The sequence below is a fragment of the Homo sapiens genome, chromosome 3 (assembly GCF_000001405.40).
Source record: "Homo sapiens chromosome 3, GRCh38.p14 Primary Assembly".
Classification (NCBI taxonomy): domain Eukaryota; kingdom Metazoa; phylum Chordata; class Mammalia; order Primates; family Hominidae; genus Homo; species Homo sapiens.
In genome coordinates, this window is record NC_000003.12 from 183,934,824 (window position 1) to 183,952,054 (window position 17,231).

The 17,231-nt window shown below is 45.4% G+C and overlaps 1 protein-coding gene across 6 annotated transcripts in view, besides 1 other annotated feature; it reads right to left on the bottom strand.

The window, feature by feature from the left end:
* ABCC5 (ATP binding cassette subfamily C member 5) overlaps positions 1-17,231 on the bottom strand; it is a 97,951-nt gene that overhangs the window by 14,890 nt on the left and 65,830 nt on the right. For all 6 annotated transcript variants that reach the window (NM_005688.4, NM_001320032.2, XM_005247059.6 and 3 more), the window contains 8 exons: positions 17,034-17,180; positions 16,618-16,747; positions 15,149-15,302; positions 14,930-15,058; positions 12,501-12,687; positions 11,027-11,116; positions 7,904-8,093; positions 3,078-3,237 (listed from right to left, as the gene is read on the bottom strand). In NM_005688.4, the coding sequence (NP_005679.2) occupies positions 3,078-3,237; positions 7,904-8,093; positions 11,027-11,116; positions 12,501-12,687; positions 14,930-15,058; positions 15,149-15,302; positions 16,618-16,747; positions 17,034-17,180 (1,187 nt within the window). The remainder of the gene's footprint in view (positions 1-3,077; positions 3,238-7,903; positions 8,094-11,026; positions 11,117-12,500; positions 12,688-14,929; positions 15,059-15,148; positions 15,303-16,617; positions 16,748-17,033; positions 17,181-17,231) is intronic.
* Positions 10,082-10,171: an enhancer, noted in NCBI's record as "active region_20899". NCBI's record gives its function as "activates an Ori minimal core promoter by ATAC-STARR-seq in GM12878 lymphoblastoid cells {active_cell/tissue: GM12878}" and the evidence as "EXISTENCE:reporter gene assay evidence [ECO:0000049][PMID:35858748]".

A 17,231-nucleotide genomic window follows, 5' to 3' on the forward strand; every position in this document is an offset into this window, starting at 1 on the left:
CAGTTGTTAACCACTAACTCTAGAAGCCCCCATTTCACAAACCCAAATGAAATGCTATAAAATTGTTAAATTAAAACTGAGGCTTCTTGGTGGCAGCAGTTTCAAAAGAAATCTCAAGTTTAACGTGCTTTATTTCTTAATTCTCTTCCAAATGATGATTTAAAAAACTAGTTCTTATGGCCAAAGCCAAATATTGTAAGGCCAATTTTTTTTTTCAAGGTGTTCCTGTGGCATCTAAAAATAGGGAGATTTATGGGAAGAGCCAGGCTGGTCTCAAACTCCTGACCTCAGGTGATCCGCCCTCCTCGGCCTCCCAAAGTGCTGGGATTACAGGCATGAGCCACCACGCCTGGCCAAGCAATGGCTTCTTTTTTTGAGATGGAGTCTCGCTCTGTCGTCCAGGCTGGAGTGCAGTGGCATGATCTCGGCACACTGTAACCTCCACCTCCCAGGTTCCAGCAATTCTCCTGCCTCAGCCTCCCGTGTAGCTGGGACTACAGGTGTGTGCCACCAAGACTGGCTAATTTTTGTATTTTTTAGTAGAGACGGGGTTTCAGCATATTGGCCAGGCTGGTCTGGTACTCCTGACCTCGTGATCCGCCCGCCTCAGCCTCCCAAAGTGCTGGGATTACAGGTGTGAGCCACCGCACTCGGCCTATTTTTAGGCTTTCATCTTCAATAAATTCTAATTTTCTTTTGAGACAGAGTCTCGCTCTGTCACCTAGGCTGGAGTGCAGTGGGACGATCTCAGCTCACTGCCACCTCCGCCTCCCAGGTTCAAGTGATTCTCTTGCCTCAGCCTCTGGAGCTCTGGAGTAGCTGGGACCACAAGCATGGGCCACCACACCTGGCTAATTTAGTAGAGACAGGGTTTCGCCATGTTGGCCAGGCTGGTCTCGAACTCCTGACCTCAGGTGATCCGCCCACCTAGCCCTCCCAAAGTGCTGGCATTACAGGCGTGAGCCACCACGCCTGACCAATAAATTCTAATTTTCTTCTGATATTGCTTGTCTGACCTTATTACCTCAATACCCAAAGAGAATGGTTTATTATCAACCACAGATACAGTGCATGCTGTCCAGATTCAATTACAGAAACACCAAAATAAACATACTCTAGGGTGTTGACACTACACAAACACAGGTGAGAATTCTGCTGATTTACTGCTATGGACTACAGGTTTGTGTGCCCCTAGAATTAAACTGTTGAAACACTGACCCCAATGTGATGGTGTTTGGAGGTGGGGCTGTAAGGAGGAGATTAGGTTTAGATGAGATCATGAGGGTGGGGCCTCAAGAAGAGGAGACACAAGAGCTCTCCTTTCCGCGGGCACACACCACAGGCATGCACCACAGGCACACACCGAGGAAAGGCCACATGAGGACAGAACAAGACAACCATCTGCAAACCAGGAAGACGGCCCTCAGCAGACACCCATCCCCGGCCTTCCCAGCCTCCAGAACTGAGAGAAATAAATTTCTGTTGTTTAAGCCACCCAGTCTATGGTATGTTGGTATATACAGCAGCCTGAGCAGACTAAGATATCTACCAAAGTTCCTTGAGTTCAAAATGCCATTTCCAAAGGTGGAGGGGATAGTTTTAAAACAAGTCTGAACACTGCCTATGATTATTTGAAATTAGGTTGGTACCAATTTTTCTGAAAACTGCTAAAAATTACTTTTAGAATGATTTTTTTTTTTTTGAGATGGAGTCTCACTCTGTCACCCTGGCTACAGTGCAGTGGCATGATCTCAGCTCACTGCAAGCTCTGCCTCCCGGGTTCACACCATTCTCCTGCCTCAGCCTCCCAAGTAGCTGGGACTACAGGCGCCCACCACCACGCCCGGCTAATTTTTTGTATTTTTTAGTAGAGACGGGGTTTCACCGTGTTAGCCAGGATGATCTCAATCTCCTGACCTCGTGATCCGCCCGCATTGGCCTCCCAAAGTGTTGGGATTACAGGCGTGAGCCACCGTGCCAGGCCAGAATGATTTTTTAATAGACAGGGACACAAATGATGGAAATCCACTGTTTTCAGGAGGCTGAAGCTTAAGGCTAAGGGTAGGATCAGGTAAGCTTAGGAAAGATAATGTGATGCTTTCTCCTTGGACTGTTTTAATAGGCCAAGAAGAAGGATTTTATCTCTGGCAACCTGGCAGATTTCAAAAAGTGACATAATTCCAGAGTATCAAAGGTAGGGGAAGATAGTAGAAAATGAAATAACATGAGTAGTAATAATGCCTGAAAGCCACCATTGGAACTGGAACTTTTGGCCAGGTGCAGTGGCTCGCGCCTGTAATCCCAGCACTTTGGGAGGCCGAGGCGGGTGGATCACTTGAGGTCAGGCGTTCAAGGCCAGCCTGGCCAACATGGTGAAACCTCATCTCTACTAAAAATACAAAAATTAGCTGGGCCTGGGGGAGGGCGCCTGTAATCCCAGCTATTCGGGAGGCTGTGGCAGGAGAATCACTTGAACCCAGGAGGCGGAGGTTGCCGTGAGTCAAGATCGTGCCACTGCACTTCAGCCTGGGTGACAGAGTGAGACTCCATCTCAAACAAACAGAACAAAAAAACTGCAACTTTCAGCGCACCTAGGAGAGATGACAGAATGGAGTGGGGGGCAGATGAGGATGATGTCAATGAGGCTGATGACAGCAGCCACCATTTGCTGAATGCTTACCATTTGCCAGGCCCTGTGCTTATATAATTTACATGAACTTATTCAACCTTCACAGCAACAGGTCTTTAAAGCATCCCCATCTTATGGTTGAGGAAACAGGCACAGGAGTGGTTAAATAACTTGTCCGAAGTCACGGAGCAGAGCCCTGGGCCCAGACCTCTCTGGCCTCTTCAGCACTGTGTTGCAGGCCTCCCTGCACCCTTCAGTCAACCAAGTGGCATTGTGAGTGGTGCTGCCTCTCCCTTCTGCACCAGCAAGCACATGGTGCAGTGGGAAAAGCACCAGACTAGAGATGGTGAGCTCATGGTCCCAGGGGGCGGTGCTAGCATCATGTGGTCCCACATGCTCATCTGGCCTCTAAGTGACGCACGAGACATGCAGGTGCTCAGGTCCTCACCTGACAGTGCCACTGAACAGCACCGGCTCTTGAGGAATGATAGAGAGTTTGCTTCGGAGGTCGGCAAGGCCAATATCACTGATTCTCACTCCATCAATCTTGATGCAGCCTCCAGATAACTCCACCAGACGGAAGAGGGCCATCCCCAGCGAGGACTTCCCTGATGAGTCAGAAGACATGCAAGAGAGGAGCTGTTAGCAAAGTCTGTGAGGACAATGCTGGTTTAGCCTCAGGGCAATGCCAACTATTTTTCCATTTCTATTCAGTTGTTATTTCAACTGATTAACTGAGATAATGTATAAAATGATAGAAAAATGCAATTAACTTTCCTGAGATACCAGGCAGACACCTTCAAATTACACAGCTTCAGCCTGAGAAGGAAGGGAAGGGACCATTCCATTTTCATTTTTTTTTTTGAGACGGAGTCTCACTCTGCTGCCCAGGCTGGAGTGCGGTGGTGCGATCTCGGCTCACTGCAACCTCTGCCTCCTGGGTTCAAGTGATTCTTCTGCCTCAGCCTCTCAAGTAGCTGGAACTACAGGCACGCGTCACCATGCCCAGATAATTTTTGTATTTTTAGTAGAGATGGGGTTTCACCATATTGGCCAGGTTGGTCTCAAACTCCTGATCTCGTGATCCGCCCACCTTGGCCTCCCAAAATGCTGGGATTACAGGCGTGAGCCACCGCGCCTGGCTGACCATTCCATTTTCATGAGAGTAAAATGGAAAAATGCCTCCTGGTCACCTTAGGAACAGGTGCACAGAGCTGAATGCTTCTTAGGCAAAGTTAGGAGAACAGAGATCTTACAGCAAGCAGTTGAGGGGCAAACCAGAGGACAAGATGTCTTTTTTCTCCCTACCCCCTTATTAGGGCTGAGAGAGAGACTAAGACAAGGCCTCCTGTTGCCACAGCAGCAGCTGGGGAATTGAAGAAGTTCCAGGGATAAATAAACACATACGGGAAGGAGGTTTTGCCTCGACTCAATGAGTAGCTGTCAATGGCCCTACTGTGATAGGAAACTATGGCAGAGAAGCAGGTTTGGGGGATCAGTGTTATTACAGTAATCAGCAGAACAGGTTAACCAAATCTTCATTTGAAAAGTTTACATAAGTAATACGAGATGACATCATCAATCTCCCATAATCTCACTTCTATCATTTTAGGCACACTTCCTTTCGGTCTTTCCTCAGAGTTGAGATCATATCAGAAATGCAATATTGTAATTGCTTTTTTCACTTAACACTGCATTGGCCGGGCACGGTGGCTCATGCCTGTAATCCCAGCACTTTGGGAGGCTGAGGCGGGCAGATCACCTGAGGTCAGGAGTTCGAGACCAACCTGGCCAACATGGTGAAACCCTGTCTCTACTATAAATACAAAAATTAGCTGGGCAAGATGGCGAGTGCCTGTAATCCCAGGTACTTGGGAAGCTAAGGCAGGAGAATCACTTGAACCTGGGAGGCGGAGGTTGCAGTGAGCCAAGATCGTATCATTGCACTCCAGCCTGGGCGACAGAACGAGACTCTGTTTCAAACAAAACAAAACAAAAGCATTGTATAACACTCAGTCAACCATCTTTTAAAAAAATTTTCAAGATAAAATTTTAGTGGTTGCATTCCATCATGTGCATGTATTCTTGTTCAGCCAGCCCTCTAAGGGTCAACATTTAGTTTATGTAAAACTTATAATAATGTTATGTCCTATTATCTTAGTGCTGAAACTTTACTGCCACCTCAGACAATTTCCTTGGGAAAGAATCTTAGAACTGAAATTACTGTGTCAAAGGATATAAACATTTAAAAGGTGCTCTCTCTACAGAGCCAAAAAGAAAAGAAGTTTGCCATAGTCCTGTCTACCTTTCTGCAACTTGGTTCCATGGTTTAGATTTAGAACTACAGGGTTTTAGCTGTTGAATCACTTTTCCTTGGCTGTACGCCTGGTTCTTGACCCTCCTACCTTTCTCGTGCCACCATGTCATGAAAGACCTCTTGTGAGGGCCTCATCGAGATCACCACGATGCTGTCTCTTCAGCACTCATGGAGGGCGCAAACAGCCTGCCTTGCCCCAGTGTCTACAGCCACGACCCCACTGTCGGGATCTACCCCCTGGGCATACCTCTGTCTAACAGCCTAATGGGAACCTGAAAAACACCCATAAGACTTGGAAGAAGTAACGCCCAGGAAACTTGGAAAAAGCTGTATTAGGACCCATCTTCCTAATGCAACAATCCTCACATCCTTCTACCAGAAACGAGTTAGGAAACCTGGTCCGTCTAGCAGGATAGTTCTCCTCCTAGAAATGAGTGACTCCAGGCCGGTGGGCGCAGCGGTTCACACCTGTAATCCCAGCACTTTGGGAGGCCAAGGTGGGTGGATTACTTGAGGCCAGGAGTTTGAGACCAGCCTGGCAAACATGGCAAAACCCTGTCTCTACTAAAAAATACAAAAAAAAAAAAAAATTAGCTGGGCATGGTGGCATGTGCCTGTAATCCCAGCTACTCCAGAGCCGAGATTGCACCACTGCACTCTAGCCTGGGCAACAGACTGAGACTCTGTCTCAGGAAAAAAAAAAAAAAAAAAAAAAAAAATGAATGACTCTGTTCAGGGTTGGGGGACTCAGTTACTGGCCCCTTTCCCAGATAGGAGGGGAGGAGACATTCCCTCTGGGCCGAGGCAGGGCTTTAAGATCTAAGCTAAGGAAGGAATGGTGCCCGAAACAATGGGTCAAGTTGTTCCAGTTTAACAAAAGGTGCCTAGGTTTGGACCACCTGGACTGGAAGACTTTAGAGTCCTCTGAATCTGACTACCTTTGCACTGATGGAATGTGCTGGTAAGAAAGGCAGTGAAGTCCTCAAGATGGTGTCCTTGACTGACATGACCACAGGAGAGTTTCCAAGTTACCCGTGAAACTTGGAAGAAGCCCTATTAGAACCGGAGTGTAAATCAGGTTATTATTATTATTATTATTATTATTTGAGATGGAGTTTCGCTCTTGTTGCTCAGGCTGGAGGGCAATAGCGCAATCTCAGCTCACTGCAACCTCCGCCTCCTGGGTTCAAGAGATTCTCCTGCTTCAGCCTCCCGAGTAGCTGGAATTACAGGCATCCACCACCACGCCCAGCTAACTTTCTGTATTTTTAGTAGAGATGAGGTTTCACCATGTTGGCCAGGCTGGTCTTGAACTCCTGACGTCAGGTGATCCACCAGCCTGGGCCTCCCAGAGTGCTGGGATTACAGGCGTGAGCCACTGCACCTGGCCACTATGTTCTTTTTCTTGTTTCTCTTCTGTCACTAACTACTGTTTAATGAAGTTGTGGTGCTTGTTTTGGCCTATCTCACCTGTGTTAAAGGGAAATCATAACAAAGGACATCAGTCAGCTTTCAGGGGAGCAGTGTACCCCTGGGGACGAATGCAGCAGATGGGCTCAAGGGAGAGAACAGTAAAAAGGCTTGGGGAGAGTCACCCTGCTTGGCTAAAGATTCCCTTCCAGCATGAAAGACCTGGAGCAATGTCTTGTTTTGACGTGAAGTAATTCCCTCAAACAGAAAGCAGGAAATGGCTTTTTCCTTTTCTTCCTTAGAAAGTTCTTTAAAATCAATTGGCCAGAAAAGACAAAAGGTTTTTTTTTTTTTAATGGCAAGGAAAAAAGCTAGAAGAGTTTTGATGCCAAAGAAGCATGGAGCCTAGAAAACTAATGAAAACTGAATCAAAGATACCTCTTATACAAGGATAAAAAGGACAGTAAAAGAAGACAAGTTCAGTCTTTGGAATGCAATTCAGGAACGAAAGTGAGAAAAAAGGGGCCGGGTGCGATGGCTCACACCTGTAATCCCAGCACTTTCAGAGGCTGAGGCGGGTGGATCATGAGGTCAGGAAATCGAGACCGTCCTGGCCAACATGGTGAAACCCTGTCTCTACTAAAAATACAAAAAAATTAGCTGGCGCCCCTGTAGTCCCAGCTACGTGAGAGGCTGAGGCAGGAGAATCGCTTGAACCTGGGAGGTGGAGGTTACAGTGAGCTGAGATCGTGCTACTGCACTCCAGCCTGGCAACAGAGTGAGACTTTGTCTCAAAAAAAAAAAGAAGTAAATTACTCAAGTCCTGACCCTAGAAATCTAAAGGATCTACAGTTACGCATTTCTTTTCTTTTTTTTTTGAGACGGAGTCTCGCTCTGTCACCCAGGTTGGAGTGTAGTGGCGTGATCTTGGCTCACTGCAACCTCCGCCTCCCAGGTTCACGCCATTCTCCTGCCTCAGCCTCCCAAGTAGCTGGGATTACAAGCATGTGCCACCACACCTGGCTAATTTTGGACTTTTAGTAGAGACGGGGTTTCACCATGTTGTTCTGGCTGGTGTTGAACTCCTCAGGTGATCCACCCGCCTCGCCCTCCCAAAGTGCTGGGATTACAGGCATGAGCCACTGCGCCCAGCCTACTGATAGTTTTAAAAGAAGGCCATGAAACAGCATGTGTCAATGACCTCATTTTTGTAAACCTACATATTACTAGAGGAAGCCTAACAAGATAGCTACCAAAATGTTACCAGTGCTTCTCTCTGGGTAGCAGAGTTGTGGGTGCTGCTCCTCTTTCGTACTTGGCTGTGTGCCCCAGTGTTCTGCATTGAGAATGTGCACATTTATGACTGTGAAAAGCACTCAATGTCATCAAAGTGGGGTCAACAATAAACCTAGAAAATTGGTTTCAGTAGGGGGCTGAGACACTAATTGCTCATCAAACAAACAAGGATCCGGTTTAAAGGGGTGAAAGTGATATTTCATAAACTGCTACGTTCCAATGGATTCAAAGAAGGCTTTGCACATCCTTACCTGATCCTGTCCGCCCCACAATGCCAATCTTCTCTTTAGGTTTGATCGTGAAGGATACTTTCTTTAGGACGAGAGGGAGGTTTTCTCGGTACCTCATCTCTGCGTTCTCAAAGGTCACCTCTCCCTCCTGGGGCCAGTCAGGGGAGGGAGCCTTGTTCTTAATTCTGGCAGGTGCTTCCAAGGACAGAGTCTGGGGAGACAAGGGTGGCCAGTTCAGACTGACCACAGATTCTTGGGGAGCTGCAGGCTTTGTCACAGAGAAATAAAACCAGGACAACCATAGTAGCCACACAGAGGTAGCTGCCACCCTGTCACCTTGCTAGGAAAGAATCCCTTGGAAGTAAATGCTTATCATCACTAAACTCGACAGAGACAGAGCACAATGGCTAAGTGTCATGGCTACTAGCAGCAGCCTGGGGAGGGAAGTGGTGTTCAGACTACCTTTTGTCTCAAGGAACTATTCCACAAAGCTGCCTTGGGGGCCAAAGGAAAACCAACACGGGCAGACATGAGGCCTTCCACCCCTCCACCACAGCAGTTTTTACTGAAATTCTTTGAGATAGGATTCTACCATTTGATAATCATTGGCTTAAATCCAAAGGAAGAAAACTAATATTTACTGAACATCTGATTGGATCCTGGCATTCTGGCATGTCTTGGTCAATCCAGGAGACACAGACTCTAATTCTAATTTTGCCACTGTGTGACCTGGACAGATCACCACTTCTTCTGCATCTTAGTTTCTTATCTGCAAATTGTGGGGACTGGATTAGATGATCTTGAGAATCTATTCCAGCTCAAAATGCTGTGATATAACTGCTTGGGTAATTTTTATCATCAACAATCATATCTCATGATCTTTTAAAACTCTCTGGCAATTGGCCATGGAGTATATAGCCTTATGGGGGGAAGTAAGGGCCAAAGACTGTAGCACTCTGGGGGGTTAAGCCTAAAGTCTAAAACTCCAAGCTGGAAGGACTCTGTGTTGGGACAGTCAGTGGGAGGGCAGGCCTCTGAAATGTGACCGGTTTCAGCAGGGTCCACTTTGTACCACCACTGACCGTAATCCTAACCTCTCCAGCACAAGGCTCTCGCCAACCATAACATTAACTCAAACACTGCACATATGTACACACACGGGTCATCTACACACCAGGACAGTGTGCAAAGAGGCTAACTTCTAAACATGAAAGAAGAGCTATTACTAGATACACTGGGCAGCCACCTGCCATCCTTTCTGAGAATAAGAAAGTTATTCATTTGTAAGCTTAAGAAATATTCTACCACTAATGAGGCTCACTGTCAAAACAATCAGTGAAGCACATCTCTATTAGAGAATCCAGTTTACGTACACTCAGTTCCCAATTGAAAGAGTAATTTTTCAGGCCGGACACTATGGCTCCTGTCTATAATCCCAGCATTTTGGGAGGTGGAGGCAGAGGCAGATCGCTTGAGCCCAGGAGTTTGAGACCAGCCGGGACAACATGGCGAAACCTATCTCTACAAAAAATACAAAAATGAGCTGGGCCTAGTGGCGCATGCCTGTAGTCCCAGTTACTTGGCGGGGCTGAGGTGGGAGGATCACTTGAGCCTGGGAGATCGAGGCTGGACTGAGCCGTATTCATGCCACTGCACTCAAGCCTGGGTGACAATAAGACCCTCTCTCAAAAAAAATAAAAAAATAAAAAATAAATTAAAAAAGGAAAAAAAGAAAAAAAGCTAACTTTTCAAAACTATGTTTCAAAGTCAAGTGTTGGGAACTCAGAATATACTCTTCACATATAAACAATGACACAGATGCTTGTAAAGTCTCACAGCAGTTCAATAAAATAGATAACTCTTAAGAATTGAGTTCAATTTGAGAATCTAACTACTCATGATGCTGCTTCTTTATAAGCAAATTTGTCCAATCTGTGGCCCTTGAGCCACATGCAGCCCAGGACAGCTTTGAATGTGGCCCAACACAAATTCGTCAACTTTCTTAACATATTATGAGACTTTTTTTTGCCATCTTTTTTTTTAAGCTCATCAGCTATCGTTAGTATTATTTTATGTGTGGCCTGAGACAATTCTTCTTCCAATGTGGCCCTGGGAAGCCAAATGATTGGACACCCCTTGATGTGGTTTGGCTCTGTGTTCCCACCCAAATCTCATCTCGAATTGTATAATAATCCCCATGTGTGAGGGGAGAGGCCTGGTGGCAGATGACTGAATCAGGGGGGTGGACTTCCCCCTTGCTGTTCCCGTGACAGTGAGTTCTCAGGAGATCTGGTTGTTTGAAAGTGTGTGGCACTTCCCCCTTCTCTCTCTCTCCTGCTCTGCCATGGGAAGATGTGCTTGTTTCCCCTTCACCTTTCGCTATGATTGTAAGTTTCCTGAGGCCTCCCAGCCATGCGTCCTGTTAAGCCTTCGGAACTGTGAGTGACTTAAACCTCTTTCTTCATAAATTACCCAATCTCAGGTAGTTCTTTACAGCAGTGTGAAATGGATTAAGACATCCCTGTAGGAAATTGTTTAAGAGTGCCAGTTAGGACAGCAGCAAGATGCCTGCCACCCACGGCAAGACGGAAGGGGTTCCTGGGGAAAGGTGGGAAGAGCTGGATACTCTGGTATCAATTAAATTTACTCGTTTGTAAGTTGGGAGAGCAGTTTAGAATTCGCTATGGAGCTTTTCAAACTATAGAAGCCTGGGTCCCACCCCAATCCACTGCAACAGAATCCAGAGATGAGGCCACGTTTGTCCTGCCAAAAGCTCAGCAGGGGGTCCTGATGGCCATCCCTGATTAAGAACAATTGGACATAGTAAGAATTAAAACAATACATGGTTTTAAACAGTGTAAGGAAAATGCTCCATTAGTCAGTTAAGCTGAACTGACAAGGTTCTGAACATTCTGGAAATTAGCCAATGAAGTTCTCAGCTCGACATAATTTACAAATATACTTAGAAACTCTTACGGTAATCTCTTTCCCATTCCAAGCACGGTTGAGAGATTGCTGGAGATTCTGTGGGATTAGATAGGCAGAGAACACAAGCCTCCTCCTTGTACACCCAGCTGAGGCAGCAAAGGGTAAACCGACTCCAAGAGGAGTCAGATCACGGTAAAAGGCCTACAGCAGTCTGACCTTAATGTAGTGATTGATCCTCTCCACCGAGGTGAATCGAGCTTCTGTCTCAGATGCCAGTCTGACCGTAAACTGGAACAGCCCCGTTAACTGATAATGGAAAACAACAATCAAAGAGATAATTCATTATCAATACACGCCAGGCCAATGCTGGAGAACTTCCTTCATCTAGAGGACTACTAAGAACTGAGCACATGCAGCAGCTGGTCTTAGGGACCTAGTCATTCTCTTGGCTTTTAAGGCATACCTGTTACCCCATCAACTGCAATGCTCAGTGAATGCGGGCAGTATCATGGCACTGCTGGAACCACTTCCTTGTACCCAAAGCCTTTCTATTCATCTTTACATTTCCAATAACACATATCTGCAACTGATTCACTTCTGGACTTCCTACTTGTATCTGAGCCTGTTTGTGGGAGTCACAACAAATGGAGATATCAACCTATGAGCAACTAGTAAGAATGTTTCCAGGAAAGTCAAATCAGATACATAATGCTGGGAAATGAGTGAGTCTGGAGCCCCTGTGCTCCATAGACTGCGGAGTCTAAAAACAGTCTATATAATGCATTGTCTTCCCCAACCAGTTGTCAAGTAAATTGCAAAATGTGGCTGGACATCTCGGGGTATCTGTGAAGACACATATCTCTGGGGTTCCTTTGACTATTTATTTTTATCTTTTCAATAAAGAAAAATGTCAAACACACAAGAGTAGAAAGAGTAGTATAATGAACTCCCAGGTACCAAAACTCTACCATAAAAATGATCAACTTACAGTCAATATTGTTTCATCTGTATTCCCTTCCATTCCTACCCCCACCCCCCATATTATTTGGAAGCAAATCGCAGAGAGCTTATCTCATCCAAATATTTCAGCTTGTACCTCTCTAAAATATAGACTCCTTAAAAACATAATTCCAATACCATTATTTTAGAGGGTAATAATAATCACTCAACATCTTAAAATATCTAGTCAGTGCTCAAGTTCTCAACTATTCTCTGAGCTATTTGAAGACCCTCAATCACCCCTAGGGGCTAGAAGGTTTTATGTATATAACAGTATTGGGAAAATCAGGGCCCTGAGAAGAAAATGCACGTAAGAAGCATATTGAGTCTATAACATTTCTTAGAAGACTAGAAAGAGGCCAGAGATGAAATGGTGGTGAACACAGAAACCCACAATTAAGAAACTATTTTCAAGATCATATTTCTTTTTGAAGAAAACAGCATCTACTTCTCACACACATGCAACAGAGTTCGATTCCTTTATTCCTGGATTCCACACTTACCTCTCTCCTATCCCTACCTGCCCCAGTCAAATCCAGATTGTTACGGTCAAATCAGACCATGAGCAATTCTAGGGGTCCAGAGGTGAAATAATGGCTCAGGGTGGAGCCCCCCACAATCATCCCTCTTTTACGTCAGCAGAGGAAGGGCTCAAACAAGCAAAGATGACGCTCCTATCCCAGAGACTGACCTGGACAGCATAAGAGATGGCGAGACCCGCATAGGCTGGGGGAATCTGCCCGTGCATAAGAACGATCATCAGCCCCGTGGTGGTGATGAGGGCGATGCTGATGAGGTCCAGCCGCACAGCCAGCCACCGCATCGCACACGTAAACAAAAAAAAAGGAGCTTGGTTGTCATCCAGCAGCTCCTGGTATCTGTGAGAAAGACAACACTTAATGGGCAAAGAAAGTACTACACAACCCCGCGCATGGACAAAGCTTCAGCGAATCAGATGATGGAGGGCACGTATTTAAATACTTCCTGTTTCTAACTGAGAGAATGCCCTGGAAACTCCAGGAGGGTATTCTAGGAATTCTGGAGGTATTCTAGGCCGCATGCATAGGAGGACATTAAGTTTTTCTAATCTTAGTTACTCTTTAAAAACAAAAAAAAATCCTATTAAAGATGTTATGGAAAACATCTATCTCAGCACAGAGTAAACATGGGAAAAGAGACTGAATAAAGAGGCTTGTGTTAAACTTTAGAAAAATATCTTAGGTCAGAAGGCATTTTCTGAAAGAAGGAAAGGTTACAAACGCCAACAGCAGAAATGGTTCAAGGCGAGGAAAAAGAAACTCAGAGTGAATATGGGAACACCATAAGTGTGTGCACATGCCGCCACCATGCAGAATGGCACTTGTTCCCCAGCTATGGAGCCAAGCACCAGGAGAAGCAAGCTAAACCACAGCAAAAGGGACTCAGGCAATGTTTACTGCTGCTACTGAAGGAGCATGGCACGGCCATCAGTAGGGGTCCCAGAGAGCAGACCAGACCCCTCTGAAGGCTCAGTGCACCATGTACGACTAGAACTCCAGAGCAGGAAGTTTTGCTGCGCAGATGTGCTTTGCTTTGAAAAATCACTTTTCCTCTTTCCAATAAAATATGTAATCTTTAGAGAAAATTTAGAAAATGCAATAGAAATAGGAAAATGTAAAATTCCAGTAATCTCATCACCCTGTTAAAACCAGAGTTGATATTCCGCTGCATTTCCTCCCAGCAGTTTTTTTCAATGCACTGACATTTACTGTGTGTAGGTATATACACATGTACGTATTTAGTACATTTCACTTTCTTTTCTGCTTAAAGTTTAGGAATTATTTTTCTGAGTCATTTAACATTTTGAAAATAATTTTTTCTAAACTTTCTATTCTAAATTTTCTCTCTAAAAATAATTACCCAACTTTTGCAATAGGCAACATATACACAGAATAGAAAATTTAAAAGTTACCAAAGGTTTACCATGAAAGGTCAAGTCTGTCTCATTCCCATCTTCCAGCTACCCAGTTCTCCCTTCCAGTGGCAACTAACAGGTTTTTTTTTTAATCCTTTCAGAGATATTCTAAATTTTTATTTTTATTTTTTTTGAGATGGAGTCTCGCTCTTGTCGCCCAAGCTGGAGTGCAATGGCATGGTCTGGCCTCACTGAAACCTTTGTCTCCTGGGTTCAAGTGATTCTCCTGCCTCAGCCTCCTGAGTAGCTGGATTACAGGTGCCTGCCACCACGCCTGGTTAATTTTTTTGTAATTTTAGTAGAGACAAGGTTCCACCATGTTGGCCAGGCTGGTCTCGAACTCCTGACCTCAGGCGATCCGCCCACCTCAGCCTCCCAAAGTGCTGGCATTACAGGCGGGAGCCACTGTACCCAGCCTGATATTCTAAATGTTATACATAAAAACACATACTCAAAGGTAGCATACAATATATTAATACACACATCTGTACTCTGCTGTTTCACTAATATATGCTGGAGATCATTCCCTATCAGTACCTATAGAGCTCCCTCATTCTTTTTAAGGGCCACATAGTACTCTATGGATATACCATAGCTTATTCAACCTGTCCTATATTGAAGAACATTTTAGTTCCAATCTCTTATTAATACAAAGCTCCACAATGACAATGCACATAAGTTTCACAAATAAACAATACTCGATGCTTAAATAAAATCTACTCAAATGTCATGACTACCTTTTACTACTTAAAAGAAAAAGCAAAACTCTATGAAATATAGCTTTTCAGGGCCAAGGCCAATAGACTCCTAATCTGTGGGGTTTGTTCCTTGTATTTTGTTTTGAGATGGGGTCCACTATATTGCCCAGGCTGGACTTGAACACCTGGGCTCAAGCCATCCTCCAGCCTCAGCCTCCTGAGTAGCTGTGACTATAGGCACGTGATGCCGCATGCGGCCCAAATCTGTATTTCTGTTTTCTCACTTGCTCAGAAAGGAGTCCCGCCAAGCAATTGGATTTTAATCAGAGATTATTCCATTAAATCATGAATACCCTTGGTAATGAGGTTTATAATCCCCATCTCTGGCCTTGAAGAGCCTCCCGGACAAGTATCAAACGCTGGGATGCTGACTCCCCTTTGAGGCCTCTAGCCCCCATCAGGACAAACCTGTGCAGAAACTCCTGCCCTTTATTGTAGGCGTGGATGGTGGCAAGGCCCTGTATGCTGGACGTGATGTGGGAGAGGAAAGGTGACTGCGTGATATTGTCCAGACGCTTCAGCTCCCGAATCAGGACCCTGGAGAGAGAATGAGCTCCGTGTCACAGCACCTACCCAGCAACTGAGGCTTCTCCGTGGCCCCAGCAGACATGAACGCTTCCTATTTACCTGGAGACAATGTGCAGGACTGAAAAGAGGATGACAAGGGGCCCCACTGCCACAAGGAACCACGGGAAGACTCCTGCGATCATTCCCACACAGAAGAACACCAGGATAACGTTCTGGATGAACATCTCGGCCTGGAACGGCAGCCGCACGTCAACTGTGGAAACAAATAAAGGAGCAAGTGTCAGATGGTTTGGAAAAATGGAACTGAAAATTGAAAAAAACAAAAAGGGGTTCCACAAACTCTCTATCTGAAGTTTGTGATGTTGTCTTTAAACAGTCTGATCAAAGAAAAATTTAGAAACCTGGATGCTCTGATTTTTTTTTTTCGTCTCAAGAAAATCCTCTTACTCCACTCCCTTTTCTTGGTTCCCTTCCTGCCCCACTGCTTTAAACATTTTCCCCCTTTACAAAGTAACTTATGCTTATTTTAAAATGTTTGGAAAATAAATATGTGAAGAAGAAAACAAAAACTATATTCTTACCAATACCAATGAACTGCTGTTAACATTTAAGACATTTTTTGTCTTGCAAAATTTTTAAACATACATAAAAATTAAAGGAAGAGCACAGACCCTTCAACAGTTATCAACTTTCATCTCTTTTTGGCTGTCTCCCCACCCCACCGCCTTTTTTCTTCTGGTTAAAGTATTTTCATGCAAATCCCAGACATGTTGCTATTATTTACTTTTTTTCTTTTTTCCATTCATGTGTGAGCACATGCGTGTGTGTTTAGCAGAAATGGGAACATGTTATGTATCAGTTCGAGTATCAGGGATAGTTCTGATTTCTTGTTACCTCTGGCCATGGGTTTACAATGGCCTATCAATGCCTGAAACAAACCCCTTCCATGAAGGCAGCTACAGTGCAGCAATTAAAAACATTAGCTTTGGGGTCAAAAAGATCTGGGTTCAATTTGCAGCTTTGTCACTCAATAGCTGTAGATCTTGGGCCAGTTCCTTGACCTTTCCAGATAGCAGCTTTCTCATTATTCAAGGAGTGAAACAACACCCGCCTGACAGGCCTGCTGCGGGGATTAAGGTAACATGCATAAAACACTGAGCATGCTGCTTGCTACACAGGAAGCCCCCTGTCAATGTCAGGGGCTTTACTGTTACTCTGAACTGTGGGGGTACAGTATTTCAGTTCTGGTGCAGGCACAGCCCATACAACAGCCAGAAAACCTGCCAGGTTGTAGGCATCCAGAAACCAATGCATTGCTTTAAAATCTGTGTGTGTTTCAGAATCTCAGATGCCTCTGTTCAAAGCCTTTCTGCTAACTCAATTCATTGAATTTATTTTCAGGTCAAACAAGACAGAAAATGCAGTTGCAATGTTCCTGGTGAAAACACCAGCAGTCACTGTGCTCTCAGGATCTACAGACAGACAGATCTGCACATTTGGAGAATCATCTAGAAGGCTGGAAGCACAGTGAGCTCCAGAGTATTAAAAAAAGGCTCAGTGAGAAATACCTTCATCCATGTCTTTGGAAAACCTGTTGAGAATCCTCCCTGTGGGGGTCGTGTCAAAAAACTTCATAGGGCTTCGAAGGATCCTTCGGAAAAGCTCGTCATGCAGCCGGGAGGAAGCTCGCAGCGTGCCCTGAGGAGCAGAGCACAGAGTGGTCAGGGCCCAGGGACGGCTCTGTTCCTACTGGTCCAGAGAACCGCTCCGCAGCACATCCACTCCCAAAGCGGGGAGGTGTGAGGGGTCAGGAGGGACAGGTGGCAAGTGAGAAAAGGTGGAGGCTAACGGAATATGAGTCATCTCAGCCAGGGCCATCCTGGTTAAGGGAGCTCCCCTACTCAGCATGAACTGAGAGACGCCACACCAAAGCCTGACCACAGGTCACCAGGGAGGAGGGCAGAGACCACCCACCAATGCATACCTTGACAAAGACAACTCCTCGAATGGCTTTCAGGATCAGCATGACTGCCATGGAGAGGGCGTAGATGCTGGCATAGTACTGCATATGAGGATTGTCCTTCATGCTGTCACTCACCGAGGTCTCGTTCCCTCGAGTCACAGTGGTGTTCTGTTTGAAGCCAAAGTTCTATGAGGCCAGACTCCTAACGACTGCCAAGAG